The sequence below is a fragment of the Homo sapiens genome, chromosome 8 (assembly GCF_000001405.40).
Source record: "Homo sapiens chromosome 8, GRCh38.p14 Primary Assembly".
Classification (NCBI taxonomy): domain Eukaryota; kingdom Metazoa; phylum Chordata; class Mammalia; order Primates; family Hominidae; genus Homo; species Homo sapiens.
The window spans coordinates 67,636,710-67,653,803 of NC_000008.11; the positions used below are offsets into that span (position 1 = coordinate 67,636,710).

The window sequence follows — 17,094 nt, forward strand, 5'->3', positions numbered from 1 at the left end:
TATCCTGTGGAAAAGTTAATAATAGGATGTTCACTTACTTAAAAAAAATGTCATCCCCGAGCACAAAGAAATCCATTAGGTAATTCCACCTAGAAAAATTAATGTTCACATGCAGATTCTCTATTATAAAGTGCTTGGGTCTCAGAGCTGCACTTCCTTTGTTGAAAGATTATGTTTTGATGCACATGAAAAATTTCATTAAAAAGCAATAAATAAGAGACAACTTGGCAGAACATGCTCTAGAGAGCTAAATGGATTCTCCCTTCTTTGGTTATGGTTTATAGTTGCAATATAAAGTGCTTGGAACATGAAGAATCTCCCTGTGGCAGTTTGCTTAGGACATGAAGATTTAGACTTCACTCTTGGATTAAAGTTAGGCAGAAGTAATGACTTTATTTTTGGTGGTGGTTGTTGCAGTTAATTTAACAGCAGAGAAAAGAAAAACACATAGTCTTCAGAAACCTGACAGCTGGACTTCACTTTATAACAGAAATTTTCTCACGGTAGCTCACATGTAATGGTTGATCAATAAATATTTGCTGAGTTGAATTGAAATTGGCTTTTTGTAAACCACATCATCTTTTAAATGCCTGAAATGGGCTTCCATTATATGCTTTGAGAATTTCTTCTCCCATTAGCATAAATCAGAGAGGAGAAAAAGCAATAACATGTAATAATGTCATGAAATTAATTTCTTATAATAAGATATCTTCACTATGTCTCAAGGACTTGCTATATATTGTGTGAAATCATTGTATCACACTTCGATTTAGTTCTTTCTTGTTGTATTTAAGGATGGGACTCAGTCTGAGAAAAATGTTTCCACAGTGGAGAACAAACTATTTATTCAATATTTATCCACGTAGCAAATTATTCCATGCAAGTTTCTGGTGTGAGGAAAAGGGAAAGGAGTTACAAAGCATAGGGGAAAATTTTTCAAAGATGTATAATCTAGTTAGGTACATAAGACAAACAATACCTTATTATTATAAGGTAACGTGGCAACTGTTTCATAAACTACATAGAAAATATGTAGTAAAAAGGTTTAGCTGCAGTGATCAGAGAAAAACACATGAAAAGATTTGATACTTAAAACTAAGAAGATTTGGGGGCTCAGTAGATTGATGGCCATCAGCAATACATTAGTTTAGTGGTTTTGAAATTAGAGCATATGTAAGATTCACCTAGGAATTTATCTGCCAGCATAATTTGTTGGGCTCAATACCCTGAAATATCCTTCCAGAAGAAAGCCCTTAGTAATGCTAGAAATTTTGTGTGTGTGTGTGTGTGTGTGTGTGCATGCATGCATGTGTGTTTGTGTATGTGGTATATCACTTAATATACAAGAGTGGCAATACAGTAAGAGAAATTCTAAGATGCCCAACACAATGAGTGAAGCTAACACTGGGGCCAGTGGTTATCCTGACTGAGGAGCACCTTGGTAGCCCTTGGATGCCCTAGAGTTTGAGCAAGGTGGGAATTCAGACCACAGACTCCCATGTAAAGCCTTAAAGATAAAACCTTAGTGAAAAGATGACTAGAACAAAATGCCTTGTGACAGGAGAAAGGAGGAAAACTTGTTTGTCTTGAACTTGGCTCTAGGTAGGAAAAATATAGTCAATAGTGAGAATTTAAAACCATGGCTAGCCCTCCAGCAGGATTAGGAATGAAATTCACCCTAAAAAATCAACCTAATAAACCTAGTAAAATTTAAATTGATATGGTCCAAAACCTCCAAACTAAGGATTTGTGTTCAAGTAGTCATCCGGTTAGAAGTTCCCTGCAGTCCTCACTGTGATGTGCTGCTCAAGTCACCCCTGCAGAACAGAGGTCTGCATTGTCCTGGCTGCAAAGTGTTGCCTGCTGAGGGCTCACAGCTGAGTTCTTCTGGAGCAATTGCTTTTGGCTGAAGGGAAGTGCTTCATCTAAGAGGAAGACCACTCCCCCAGGGGCAGCGTATGCTGAGGTGCAAAGGCCTCGTCCCCTTTCCTCAATTTGAGGCATTACTGAAGGACCAATCCATGGTCCTTTAGAGTTTCCCATGAAAACTGTTGAGATGACATTTCAGTTCAAATCTCCCTCTGTCCTCAGTTTCTTTCATTTCCTTGCAGATGTTGTTTGTGAGAGTACTCCCTAATAAAGTGACTCCATGCAAGCCTCTTTTTCAGAGTCTTTCCTGGGGGACCTTAGCCTGTGATGTGCCCTGCCCCTAGGGTCCCAAAACAAATGCAGATCATTTCTGGAGGAATCTATCTTAAAACCAGGTCTCAAAGTACTCCCATAAAGTTCTAACAAATAGGAGCTTACTATCAAAAATTATACAGCACATCAGAAAATAAGCCAACAAGAGCAAAAGCCAGTAGAAACAACAAAGAGCAGAATTAGGCCTGTAGAGCCTACCGCTGTTGAAATTGTCAGATAGTGCAGGGGTTGGAAAGTTTTTCTGTAAAGAGCCCCGTGGTAAATATTTTAGGTTTGCTGGCCATACAGTCTCTATTGCTACTGTTATGGGATTCTTGGGGTGTTGCTTCACCAGCTGGAAACCTCTGTGGCCAGTGGTGCCTTTGCCTGAGTTTTGCTTTGGCCTGCTGGGCTCCTTCTGTTCTCTCAGTCTGGCAGGCTGTGCTCGGCTCCCGCTACTGGCCTGGATCCCATGCCTGCCAAGGGTGAGCCAGACATGCAGCTACAAGGGGTATGTGAATGAATGTGGGGTCCAGCTACTGCACACAGCTAGGCACACAGACTGTGCTGGGCCAGGCAGCTGCAGATGCTGGTATGGGCACCAGCTCCCTACAAGGCTGTGGCTGGACAAGGTGTACCATAAGCAGCTTCCACAGCTGACACCAGGGAACATGGTGTGGTGCCCGGAAGCTTGGGATGCCAGGAACTGCAGAGCCCTAAAGAGGGTATCACAGCCCTGGCTTGGGGAGCTTCTAGGTCTGGGCTCCCTGAAGGGCTGCAGCTCTTCTCTCCTTTCTTGTCACCCACAACGTGGTGAGCAAGGGGTGTGTTTCAGCCCTATTTGTGTTACAGCAATTTTAGCCCCACCATTTGGCAGGTCCTGAGTTCTTGTCCTGTGTCCAGGAAGAATGAGGTACGCAGACAAGTGTAGGGTGAGTAAGATGAAGAGGAGCTTTATTGAGTGATAGAATAGCTCAGAGGAGACCTATAGTGGGTAGTTCCTCTCTATAGCCAGGGTGTCCTGACAAGTGTTCAGCTCTCAGCAGAGAGGGTAGCTACTCTCTGTAGCTGGTCATCCTGTCTCTTCAGCTCTCAGCAGAGAGGAGACCCTGGGGTGGGTAGCTTCTCTCTGTAGCTGGTCGTCCCATCATCTCCTTGAGTCTGGGAATTTCATGGGCCTCAGAGGGGAGGAAGTATGTGCCAGTTGGTCCATGGGCAGCCATGGGTGGGCGTGGAAAAGGCACCACAAATTCCCACTCTGGTCTGTGGGACTGGGAGCCTGGCCCCCAGGCTTCGGCTCCCCCCAGCTTGGAGGTGGGGCTTCACCAGGGACCTGCCCCCTTCTGCCCAGGAGCCTGTCTGCCTCCTGCTGCCATTCATGGCACCTAGGCTATTTGTGCCAAGGGGTGCCTGCAGGCCAGCATCGAGCTGCCTTCAGTACCCCTTTGGCCTCCCTCCAGTGCTTGTTGGTGCCCCAAATCCAGAGGGGGTCGAGGTGGCAGGGAGCTGGCGTGTTAGCGCTGCCCTGAGTGTGCACACATCTGTCTGGGTTTCAAAATTGCCTGGGCTCAGCCTCAACTTTGCTCCATGATTGGAGCAAGAACTAACAGTGGCGAGAAGTCAGACAGCAGGAGCAGGCCCCCAGGAGTGTAGAGATGCCTGGGTCTGCACCTGTGGGTTGGGCGACTGTTGCTGTGCCTGGGAGGGTAGGGGTCCTGCCTGTTCCTGGCTCCCAGGAGCGCAGGGGTGCCTGGGTCTCAGCCTCAGCTTGGGAAGCTATAGTTGCGCCTGGGGAGCTCCTGCCCCACCAACTTGAAAGAGGCGGCCCTTCAGCTTGTCCTGGGCTCCCACTTGTCCCCAGCTCCTGCCCACTCTGTGGAGTGTGCAGTCCCAGCCCTACCTCCTGTCTGCATTTTCCCCAGCAGCAGCAGTGGCAGCCCCTGGCCAACCTCAAACGAGTGAACCCGACACTCCTGGGGCCAGCCCTGTGAATTCTGGCTGTGCCTTCAGCAGGGTGCTCATGGACTCCTGGGATGCGGCAGGGAGTGAGGTTGAGGCAGCGACAGAGGCTCTGGGCCTGGGAGCACGTCCTGCCCAGCCATGCAAGGGTGCGGGTCATGCAGTTGGCTGCCTCAGGGACATGGGGTACAGGGGACCCACCGCTGCCACTGCTGCTTGTGCAGCTGCTCCTGCTGCCACCACTCATGTCTTTCTGCTGCAGCCGGCATGATGGCAGCGGATGCTCCAGATAGCCTGCCGCTGCCATCACTACTACTAAATTCTGCCATTACAGAGTGAACCTACCAAGATAAAATTAAACAGACAGCTTTGGCTGGGTTTCAGTAAAACATTGTTTGAAAAACAGGTTGGATTGGATTTGGTTGGGCTGGCCTTGGCCTGTGGGCCATAGCTAACAAACACCCTGAGGTGGAGTATAAATATATCATGTAATATTCTTAGGAAATGAAGGAGGGGATCCAAAATATTACTAATAATCAAGGAACTATAAAATGACCAGACTAAATTTCTAGAATTAAATTAAGTAACAAATAAAACTAGAAACTTGATGGACAGGTTAAATAGCAGATTAGATGTACCCAGACAAGGATTAGTGAACCAGAAAGTATAGCTTTAAAAATTATTGAAAGTGCAGTATGGAGTGTAACAAAGGTATAAGCTAAAAAAGAGCAAAGTGTCATGTAAGCTGGAGAGAGTCTATTCTGTTTCTAATCTGCAAACATCATGTTCAGCAGCAAAGTACTCAACACTTTTCTTCAAAGTCAAGAATAAGAAAAGGATGCTATGACCATCGTTTGTATTCAATAGAATTAGTGTAAATAAGAACAAAACATAAAAACTAGTGGAACTGGAAAGAAGGAACAAAACTGCCAGTTTTCATAGATGATACAATTAACCACATAGCAAACTTAAAAAAAAAAGTAACAGTTATAAAACTAGTGAGAGAATTAGCATGGTAAAGTAATATATAATTAAAATTTACATCATTTGAATTTCTATACATTAGCAACATACAGAGATTACATACAAATATACAGTTCTCTAAAATGTAAGGTACCTAGCAATTCATATAACAAAAGATACACAAGTTATTTAGGGAGGAAATTATAAAATTTGATTAAAGGACATTAGGTCGGGCATGGTGGCTCACACCTGTAATCCCAGCACTTTGGGAGGCCGAGGCGGGCAGATCACCTGAGGTCAGGAGCTTGAGACCAGTCCAACATGGTGAAACACCAACTGTACTAAAAATACAAGAATTAGCTGGGTATGGTGGCGGGCGCCTGTAATCCCAGCTATTTGGGAGGCTGAGGCAGGAGAATCACTTGAACCTGGGAGGCAGAGGTTGCAGTGAGCTGAGATCATGCCATTGCACTCCAACCTGGGCGACAGAGCATGACTCCATCTCAAAAAAAAAAAAAAATATTGATTAAAAGACATTAAAGGGGATGTAAACAGAGACACACCATATTCACATATTAGAAAACAATACTGTAAGGATGTCAGTTACCCTCAAATTTATCTATAGATTCTATGCAATTCCAAACAAAATTTCAACTTTTTTTGGTGGAATTGGACAAACTGAATCGAAACCATAATAGAAGAACAAAGAATAAGAAACAGGCAACGCACTTGTGAAGAAGAAGGTGAGCAATTCTTGTCCTACCAAATATAAAGACTTAGTATGAAGTTATAGTAATTAGGACTGTGGAACTGGCATGAGGGTAGTCCAATATATCAGAAGCAGATCCTTATGTATAGAGAAACATGATCCATGACAGGGGTAGTATGGCAGATCAGCAGGGAAAGGATGAACTCTTTCATAAATAGAACTGGAACAACTACTTATCCATGTGGGAAAATAATTAACTTGGGCCTTTATCTCACACACACACACACACACACACACACACACTCCAAGTCAAAATGGATTAAGAATTCAACTGAAAGGCAAAACCTTAAAAGATTAAGAAGAAAACATAAATTATCTTTATGACCCTGGGATAGGGTAGTATTTATAAAACAAGATGGAAAAATCATAAAGATTAATTCAATTATATTAAAATGAGGAACTTTTCATGAAAATATTCCATAAAGTCAAAAGGCAAGCCCTAGAGAGGAGATATTTAAAACATATAAGCAGAAGATTAGTATCAATATGAAAAAGATGCATTACCTAAAAAATGTACAAAATATATCAACATGAAATTAACACGAAGCAAATGAACAAAAATATGAATAGATGCATATCATCCTTAATAAGCAGGAAGATGCAAATTAAAACCACAGGAGACATCATTTCACAACTACCAGTTTCTCAATGGAATTTCCACAGCACCAAGAGGTAGGAGAGTCATACAGGAATCGCAGCTTTATGTCATAATCACAAAACTAAACTAGAAACAACCCAAACTTTTCTCAACAGTAGAAAACTAAACTGTACCTCTCCAAAAAATGGAATACTATATAGCAGTGAAAATAGATGAACCACAGATATCATATATCAACAAGGATGAATCTTGCAACCATCCTACTGATGATTAAAACAAGTCACAGAAGAATACATAATGTATAATTACATTTTTATAGATTTCAGAAGTGACTATAAGATTTTAGGGATACAAGTATATATGGTAGTTTTTTTTTTAAATCAACTGAGCAATAAAAACAAGGCTACCGGTAACCTCAGAAGGAAGGGGAGAGGGAAAGAGAGATGTGATTAAGAAGGAAGTACACATGGGAGGATTCAAATACCTTGGCAGTGTTTCACATTTTTAGCTGAGTGGTGGACATATAGGTGTTTGTTGTATAATTATTTGTTAAAACTTGCATATATATTCATATGTACTTATTTACATATGAAATTTCATCAAAGAGAAAGAATGACCTAGTACCGGTAGAAAATGTAGATTCTCAGGCCCCATCCCATAAATTTGAATTCAGTAGGTCTGATAAGCATCCCAGGTGATTCTGAGGTAGCGATGTCTATAGATCACATAGAAAAAAATAGACACTGGCTTGTTATAACAACGTGGGTTTACTACACTGAAAGAATTAACACTTATCCTGAGAAAGAAAATAAGACTTGGTTGAGCAATGGAGAAAAAGAGACATCTTCCACTCTTCATATCACAATGCAGATTGAGGGGGGTTGGCAGTACCTTAAAGACCGCATGGTTGCCATTCTAAACTCATTTCATTATTGCTGTCTTATTTTTTTTTTTTTTGAGACAGAGTCTCGCTCTGTCGCCCAGGCTGGAGTGCAGTGGCGCCATTTCGGCTCACTGCAAGCTCCGCCTCCCGGGTTCACGCCATTCTCCTGCCTCAGCCTCCCGAGCAGCTGGGACTACAGGCGCCCGCCACCACGCCTGGCTAATGTTTTGTATTTTTAGTAGAGACGGCGTTTCACCATGTTAGCCAGGATGGTCTCGATCTCCTGACCTCGTGATCCGCCCGCCTCGGCCTCCCAAAGTGCTGGGATTACAGGCGTGAGCCACCATGCCCGGCCATTATGGCTGTCTTGGCTTGCAGGGATGCCCTGGGTAAAATAGCAGGGTGTGTGTGAGCTTGCATAACCCCAAAAGCACAGTAACTCTAACATGTGAAGTCCTGGGTTCTGTGTGAATAGAGGCAAATTCCAGACTTTTTGCACAGGCAGAGCTCTTACAAGCATGTTCTTGCTGTTAGATATACATTCAGTTCTGTGCACCGGAACTTGAAGAGGGATTGCAGACTGTGGGGACTTTTAGGATTTGGGAGTAGTATTTTCCCAGATTGATGAGCAGTGAAGAAGGGGACAGACTCTTGTTGGCTTGCACATGTCAGGAGCAATACCACATGGCCCTAACAGCAGCAAGGGCCAAAGGGAACCAGGCTTCTTGGCCCAGCTGTCATTAAGCTGTGGTACTCACACCCCTTGGGGTATGTGGAGACTTTCCGAGGGGAATAAGGAAACTGATCTTTTCAAGGCAGTGAATTTCCAGTTCTTTAGCATTCATACATACTCTTGCCTAAAACACACGTGTCTCAGAATGCACCTATAGGTGAGGTTTTGTTACTCTACTTCTACGATCCTACCCTCATCCTTCACAATCACACCCCTAATACTTTTCAGAATAAAGGCAAAACTTTCCTCTATCCTATATATTACTGTAGTGCCTTGCTCTGAGGGTGAAAAATTCTCAGGGGTATCAAAAAAAGCAATAATTAAATGAGGCACCGCAAGCCTGAGGTAGGACTTCATGTCTTTCTCTGCCATCATATCACATTGTATCATATATCACATCAGATCGTAAGGTTAAGTATGGTATTAAAAATAGGACGGGAAAGTCTATATTCAAATATATCATGTTGAGAGGAATGGGACTTGATAATTTATATCTAACAACCTCACTTTTTCTGTCACCTATTAACAACAAAATGCATTGCTCCTGAAGGTGAGTGCCTTAAGAGTGAATGAGAGAATCGGTAAAAAAATGTTGAAGATCACGGCATGAATTTCATTTAGGCAACAAATGCAGGACAGAGCTTTGTATCTTATCTACTGGCATATCCTAGAATTCAATTTAAGAAGGAAAAGGGTTGTGAAGGGGCTGTGTATTAAACAGAAAAGTATAAATTGAAAGATGAAGGCTGATTTTCCTGACAGAAAGTAAGTGATTGGGCTGACTAGTATAATAATGAAGTTTGTCTTTGCCAATTAAACGATATAACACATGGTTTCCTAAATAAGCTATATTTGCAGCTTCAAGGTTTAGAGAAAAATTATTTTTTAAAGCACGTAATACCTTTTTGTCAAATATTATTGTGTTGGAACAAATATAATGATGTCAATATTTTAATTTTCCCAGGTCTTCTGATCTTATCAAGTTAAACAAAAGTAGATAAGGGATACATTATTTTCCAGATTTCTTCTTGAGGGACATGAGTAGAGAAGTTGGGAAACCACTTTCTTAGCTGTCTGTACTGGTTTCTAGTTCTTTCTTTGAGAAGATGGTAATTCCTCTTGTTACCCAGTGTGATGCCTACCTGACCTAGGTGCATTTCTACCCTGCCTTAACTCTGCTTATCTTTAGGAAAGAAAATGCCTGAGATAAAAAGTTCTCTCTCCTGACCAAAATGGCTAAGACTGGTGGGATCCAAGATGACAGCCCACTTGATCTCTGAAGAACCTCTAACTTCATTATAGTCTGATCTCTCTGCTATGTAACACTGCAACCAGCACCATGACAGGTGACAAACACCATGAGAATGACTGGAAGCAACCATAAAAAGACAAAAAGGCAGGCAGCACTCCAGTTTCTAGGAGTTCTCTACCAACTCTCAGAAAAGACATGAAGATTCCTCCCCTTTCTTTTAATGCTCAACCCCTTCATTAAAGATGCCCTGTATTTCCAGCTTCCTGGCTTTCATGGGCTGAGAATTTGATTTTTGAACCAAGCTTCTGCTTCTCAATCCTATGGCCATCAAATAAAGCCTGCACTGCTAGACATTCACTTTTGGTTTTGCCTATTGGCTTCATGGGATCGAACAGGGAAATACCCCATTTTTGGTGGGGGAACGACTTTGTTGGTAACACTCCAACCGAGCAAACCTCTCTGGAGGTGCTGTGGAGTTGTCAAGGAGAAGATCTTGGGAGAGAAAAAAGACATCACTGTTAACAGGTGAGATAATGAATAACAATTATAACATCATTTTAGGTAGTGATGAGGGTCATGAATAAGATAAGAGGTAATTTGATCATAAGTGGAGTGGGGCAGATGTGCTAATTCAAATTGGGTGGCCATGGAAGGATCCCATGAATCAATTTTTGAAATAAAACATGGATGGTAAGGAGCCTGCAGGGGAAGATTTGAGGGAAGAGGGCTCCAGGCAAAGGAAACACAAGCGCAAAGGCCCTGAGATGGAATAGGCTTGCCCTGTTTGAGGACAGGAAGACAGTCCATGTTTCTGCAGCTGAGACTGGAAAGAGGCAGTGTTAGGGAGGGAGGCAGGCCCTATAGGAAGTTTGGCTTTTATTCTTAGCACAATGAAAGCTCTTAGAGAGTTTAAATCAGAATGATATCTAATTTATAGTTTTAAGCTCACTCTGGCTGCTATGTGGAAAATGGATTACAGGGAAAGGGAAGAGAAAGGGGAGAGTAGGGATGATCAGTTAGGAGACAATTGACACAGCCTAGGAGGAAAATGGCTTATCTAAAGAAGTAAAAGAGAAGGCAAGATCTAGGATCTATCAGAGGGAGAACCAACAGGGTCCACTGCTGAATTTACATGACCACAGGAGAGGGAGGAAAAGAGGAGTTACAGAGGATGTATGTTTCAATGAGTTTGAGAACATTGGAGCCAGGTTTGACAGCAAATATCAAGCTCCTTTTCCTTTTTGGGTATGTTAAGTTTGAGATGCTATTAGACAATGATAGGATAATCTTTTTTTTTTTTTTAAATTATTGAGAGACAGGGCCTCACTATGTTGCCCAGGCTGGCCTTGAACTTCTGGATTCAAGCAATTCTCTTGCCTGAGCCTCCCAAGTAGCAGGGATTACAGGTGCATAACACCATGCCTGGATTTGACAGGATAATCTTGGATATGTTAATTTGAGGTGTTGCAGCTCAGAAACCAATGCCACAAAATACGATGCTTTGATATGCTGAACTGAAGAAGCAGCCTCAAGGTCTCTTAGACCTTCCCTGACTCCTGTCTCTCAATTGTCTCCCAAAGAATGTAATGAAATTGTTCTCTGAAGTTCCCTTATCTGCCTAAAGTCTGGACGCAATAAAGAAGAAAACAATTACCTGTGGTTCTTTCTCTGAGTTTTCAATAACGGATCTTACATTACAGGAAGAAAGGCTGAAGTCTGTCAATGTACCTGGAGAGACTTTTGTCACAAACCACTGTCTGCTCTATAGGCCCAACAGAGTATGTTCCAGGCCATTATATGTTCTTCAAGCCCACTGAATCCCCCTAAAAATCATTTACTACCCCCCTAAAATCATCTACATCTATCTCCATTTTCCCTAAGAAGTAGGGTATAGAAGCATCTGTATCCCACTGGGATATTGGGTATCACTCTATGATCTTCCCCTGTGAATGCTAATGAATTTGTATGCTTTTTGTCCTATTAATCTGCCTTTGTCAGTTGATTTTTTTTCAGAGAACTTTCAGAGGACAAAGGGGAAGTTCCTTTGGCCCCTATAGGGGGCTTAGGAGGAAGTTAGGGCTGGAGATATAAATTGAGGAGTCATCAACATATAATTCATCATTTCAGTTTTATACTCTGCCTATGTACCGCAGAGACTGTTTAGAGAATAGATGAAAGATCAGAAATAGTATTCAAATTTCCTAGATTAGGTTTTTTTTTTTTTTTTTTTTGCTAGACCTTCTCTTTTCTTAGTTATTCCTTCATTCCGTGTATAAAATTAGTATTTACATTTTCAGTCAAAATCCTTTGAGGAATGAGAGAGAAGGGGTAAAGAACGGCATTGCTAAGCCTTTAGGCCCAACACAGAAGGCTGTGCTGCATCATACTGCCAGCTCCAGACTTACTCAGCTCCAAATTCAAGTCTTGAGCAAATGGAGCATAAGTCACGTCTGGAACCCTCATTGCAAAGCAGCTTGGGTTTTGGTAGCCTCTGCTGGCAAGAAAGGCCCAGAAGGAAGAGGTTGGAATAGTTTCTGAGTAAGCCAATACAGGGTCTGCCACATCGGTGAGAAAAATGGGAGTACTAATTTCTGTGAGGTTTTAACTCTACCAGAGATTTTAAGAATTTTTATTTGAAACTTTTCATGCAGAATTTTGTTTTTCTTTTGGTGTGTTAAAGGGATAAAGCAGCTACAGAAAGCTGTGGAAAAGTTCCATTGGAAGCTGTGAGCCAGATTTGTAAACTAGCCTTTTATTTGTTAACCAAAAATAAGAGTTGGTTGAAATGACTGTTAGAATAGAACTGGGGAATATCATCAATGAAACTGGGAAAACAAACCAGGCTCTGTTTATGTTCTTGCCAAATGTGTTCCTCGGTTTGGGGATTTTCTTTTTTGATGATTTTAGTTTGGTTTGGGGAGGGAATTTTTTTTTTAATGGTAAACACACACATATTGCAATATGTGAATGATCTTTACATCTTTGGAGGTGATTGTTTTTTACCTCTTGATGGATGCACAGTTCACACAGAAGGCAAAAGAGCAGTGCAAGGCATTGGATTTTTTTTTTCATGGAAAGACGAAAATAACTGCACAAAACCTTAATATTTCTAAATTCCTACATTTTCTCTGCTTAAAAATCCTTGGCATGTTGACAAAAATGTCTAGAATTTATTTCAAATGATATTGGAAACATCTGCATGCAATGTGAATCTGGAATTATCTGTTTTTTGTAAAGAATAATTAGGCATATCCAAATTATCAGTGACAACTGACTGAACTAAAGAGTCTGCAGGGAACTTGTCTCTTTGTAATGTTTGATGTTTTTACTTTAATCCTAACAACAGGATATCCAACAATAATAAATTACAATGATGCCCAATAGTTTTTTTCATTCTTACTATTTTTGAGCTTTTTCTAAAGACTTTCCATGTACTATCTCATTTGGTCCTCTTATGATTTTTTAACAATTGGCTAAATTTTTTGGCAGTATATTTGATTCTTTCTATTTTTAAGGATTTGAGGAAATAGTAAACGAAGGCAATGATTATTTGTATATACACAAGAGCATTGGGAACTAAGGTTGAATTTTTTTAAGGGTCACTCAGTGTTTTAGAAGGATGGTCAGTAGTTCGTACCAAATTGTTCATTATAAGCCATGGTTGGCATGAGAACTGTATAGCTATGACCGCCTGTGACTTGTTCTTTTGAATCTGGAAATTTCTAGGAAGCAAAAACAATCTTGAAATTTAAGCTCAGTCTGACCAAAAAAAATGCTTCTTGAATGGTGGTGGATGCTGTGAATGAAGACTTAAGGAAAAGGAAAGGGAAAGCGGCAAAGTGACAACATTGCAAGCAGCCCATGGAGAAGTAACGACACCAGTTGAAGGGAAACGAGGACAAAGAATTAGTAAAGTCTAAAGAGTGAGGCTGAGACTCAGGAAGTCAGATTGTCATTTTCACATGGAAAATCTCTAAAACCTGGATCTGCCCTTTCCTTTTTCCTTTATTATTTCCTGTATTAAATTTATATGGGGGCTGTATGTGGTTTAGGGCTTTAAGACCCTTTCCTGGAGGAAAGATTGAACTTACTTTTCTTTTTTGGTGGTGAGACTGCTGGCTGTATAAATGTAACCAGTTCTGGAACAATTTCTTCAATGGTTAAGAAATATGATTGTGCAATCATATCAACCAGCATGCTTTTGGTTCCAAATTAACAGAAAACCACCTCAAATTAGACAAAATTACAATAGAAAATTATTTGTATATAAACGAAAGGGCCAGCAGTAGGTCAGCGGGGTTCGATCAGGACTCTAGCTCATTCTCTGCAGTTCTCTTAGCTCTATGTTCATCTGTTCATTTAAGCAGGCTTCCCTTACTGTCACAAAAGGGCAGCAGCAGTTCTAGGCCTCACATCCATACACCCCACTGTCAAGGAGGAGGAGGTACTGCTCCAACTACTAAAAGCAAAAGCCTTGAACTTCACTCTACTTGGACCAAATAAGGTGCCATGGACATCCATGAATAAATCATGGTGCCAGAGAAATGCCATGTGCTGGCTGGTTCATGTCTATTGAGGCTCACTTCTGCATTGTAGCTGGGGAGGTGGTGGTAGTGGAGGGATACACCTTAAAAATTCATGGCGGCTTCATCATGAGGAAAGAGGGATGGGAGACTGTCTACGATGTTCATATATAAAAATCAAGACCTGATCCCACACGCACTTGCCTATACTCTTGTCGGATTGTCTTTCACAAATTGCACAGAGGATTGATGGGTTGCCAGCAGGGGACCACTTGGTAGGTTTTAATGTACAGAGGCTGCAGGAGTGGGAGTAGGGAATAATCTTGTCAGGCTCCTACAAGCCAAAGCCTTCTGGAAGGATATTCTGAGGCTGCAGATTTTTGGCATTTAACAGCAGCTCAGGAGTAAGTTTAAGAATAATCAGTGAGGGGATGTTAATAGTAGCAGTCTAAAATTAGCCACTGAGAAGCCAAAGAATCAAAGAATTGTTGTAAGCTATGTTCAAAGGTAAAAACTAATTTGTTTCTTTTCCTTGTCTCCCCATAAGGAATTTACATGAAACTTAATGGCTTTGTGATTACATGAAGGTCTTTGCTTTCCTTCAGGCTGCATTTTTTTAGTGCTTTCTTACTAGGTAATTTTTCTCATTTGGTGAATAAAATTTATGTGTTGTAGGACTTTTTAATGTGTAAGTACCAAATCCTGAAACACTGATTTAAATGTTCTGAGATTCTGGAAGTCTAGAATAGTGAGAGATTTTTGAGTAGAAATGGCTTTATTTGTATTATGCAGCATGGAATTGCCTAATGGCAAACATCAGAAACCTCGGCCTCTATACTGGCTTCTCTTCTGCCTCACACCACACGCCATTTCCTTTTATTTATTTATTTATTTTTTAATGCTCAATATTTTATTTGTATTGTTGTTTTCTATATAGATATGATAGGGCTTCATGATTTTTTGTTTTCCTTGAACTGATTCCCAAAGTATTAGCCTCATGAATCATGTATTCACAAGAAACACACTCATTGTATTCTCTTTGCTGTATAATTTTGGTTTCGGTTTTCCTTACATTTCCTATTCAAGGAACATTTTCCTGTAAAACGACATGTTGAGAGAAGCAGCCATAATTTAGTAGAGAATAGCGCGAGAGCTATTCTATTTTTTTTTAAAATTTGATTATTATTATACTTTAAGTTTTAGGGTACATGTGCACATTGTGCAGGTTAGTTACATATGTATACATGCGCCATGTTGGTGTGCTGCACCCATTAACTCGTCATTTAGCATTAGGTATATCTCCTAAAGCTATCCCTCCCCCCTGCCCCCACCCCGCAACAGTCCCTGGAGTGTGATGTTCCCCTACCTGTGTCCATGTGTTCTCATTGTTCAATTCCCACCTATGAGTGAGAACATGCGGTGTTTGTTTTTTTGTCCTTGGTGATAGTTTGCTGGGAATGATGGTTTCCAGTTTCATCCATGTCCCTGCAAAGGACATGAACTCATCATTTTTTATGGCTGCATAGTATTCCATGGTGAACATGTGCCACATTTTCTTAATTCAGTCTATCATTGTTGGACATTTAGGTTGGTTCCAAGTCTTGCTATTGTGAATAGTGCCGCAATAAACATACGTGTGCATGTGTCTTTATAGCAGCATGATTTATAGTCCTTTGGGTATATACCCAGTAATGGAATGGCTGGGTCAAATCATATTTCTAGTTCTAGATCCCTGAGGAATCGCCACACTGACTTCCACAATGGTTGAACTAGTTTACAGTCCCACCAACAGTGTAAAATTGTTCCTATTTCTCCACATCTTCTCCAGCACCTGTTGTTTCCTGACTTTTTAATGATTGCCATTCTAACTGGTGTGAGATGGTATCTCATTGTGGTTTTGATTTGCATTTCTCTGATGGCCAGTGATGATGAGCATTTTTTCATGTGTCTTTTGGCTGCATAAATGTCTTCTTTTGAGAAGTGTCTGTTCATATCCTTTGCCCACTTTTTGATGGGGTTGTTTTTTTCTTGTAAATTTGTTTGAGTTCATTGTAGATTCTGGATATTAGCCCTTTGTCAGATGAGTAGGTTGCGAAAATTTTCTCCCATTTTGTAGGTTGCCTGTTCACTCTGATGGTAGTTTCTTTTCCTGTGCAGAAGCTCTTTAGTTTAATTAGATCCCATTTGTCAATTTTGGCTTTTGTTGCCATTGCTTTTGGTATTTTAGACATGAAGTCCTTGCCCATGCCTATGTCCTGAATGGTATTGCCTAGGTTTTCTTCTAGGGTTTTTATGGTTTTAGGTCTAACATTTAAGTCTTTAATCCATCTTGAATTAATTTTTGTATAAGGTGTAAGGAAGGGATCCAGTTTCAGCTTTCTACATATGGCTAGCCAGTTTTCCCAGCACCATTTATTAAATAAGGAATCCTTTCCCCATTGCTTGTTTTTTCTCAGGTTTGTCAAAGATCAGATGGTTGTAGATATGCGGCATTATTTCTGAGGGCTCTGTTGTGTTCCATTGATCTATATCTCTGTTTTGGTACCAGTACCATGCTGTTTTGGTTACTGTAGCCTTGTAGTATAGTTTGAAGTCAGGTAGTGTGATGCCTCCAGCTTTGTTCTTTTGGCTTAGGATTGACTTGGCGATGTGGGCTCTTTTTTGGTTCCATATGAACTTTAAAGTAGTTTTTTTCCAATTCTGTGAAGAAAGTCATTGGTAGCTTGATGGGGAGGGCAATGAATCTATAAATTACCTTGGGCAGTATGGCCATTTTCACGATATTGATTCTTCCTACCCACGAGCATGGAATGTTCTTCCATTTGTTTGTATCCTCTTTTATTTCATTGAGCAGTGGTTTGTAGTTCTCCTTGAAGAGGTCCTTCACATCCCTTGTAAGTTGGATTCCTAGGTATTTTATTCTCTTTGAAGCAATTGTGAATGGGAGTTCACTCATGATTTGGCTCTCTGTTTGTCTGTTATTGGTGTATAAGAATGTTTGTGATTTTTGTACATTGATTTTGTATCCTGAGACTTTGCTGAAGTTGCTTATCAGCTTAAGGAGATTTTGGGCTGAGACAATGGGGTTTTCTAGATATATAATCATGTCATCTGCAAACATGGACAATTTGACTTCCTCTTTTCCTAATTGAATACCCTTTATTTCCTTCTCCTGCCTAATTGCCCTGGCCAGAACTTCCAACACTATGTTGAATAGGAGTGGTGAGAGAGGG

General features: G+C 40.9%; 1 protein-coding gene across 3 annotated transcripts in view, besides 1 other annotated feature; it reads right to left on the minus strand.

Moving 5' to 3' along the window:
- The window catches only part of CPA6 (carboxypeptidase A6), a 324,323-nt gene that overhangs the window by 214,672 nt on the left and 92,557 nt on the right, over positions 1-17,094 (minus strand). The gene's annotated exons all lie outside the window — the stretch shown is intronic.
- Positions 3,144-3,957: an enhancer, noted in NCBI's record as "H3K27ac-H3K4me1 hESC enhancer chr8:68552088-68552901 (GRCh37/hg19 assembly coordinates)". NCBI's record gives its function as "activates a minimal SCP1, AML or CMV promoter by ChIP-STARR-seq in naive H9 embryonic stem cells {active_cell/tissue: H9 hESC(naive)}" and the evidence as "EXISTENCE:reporter gene assay evidence [ECO:0000049][PMID:30033119]".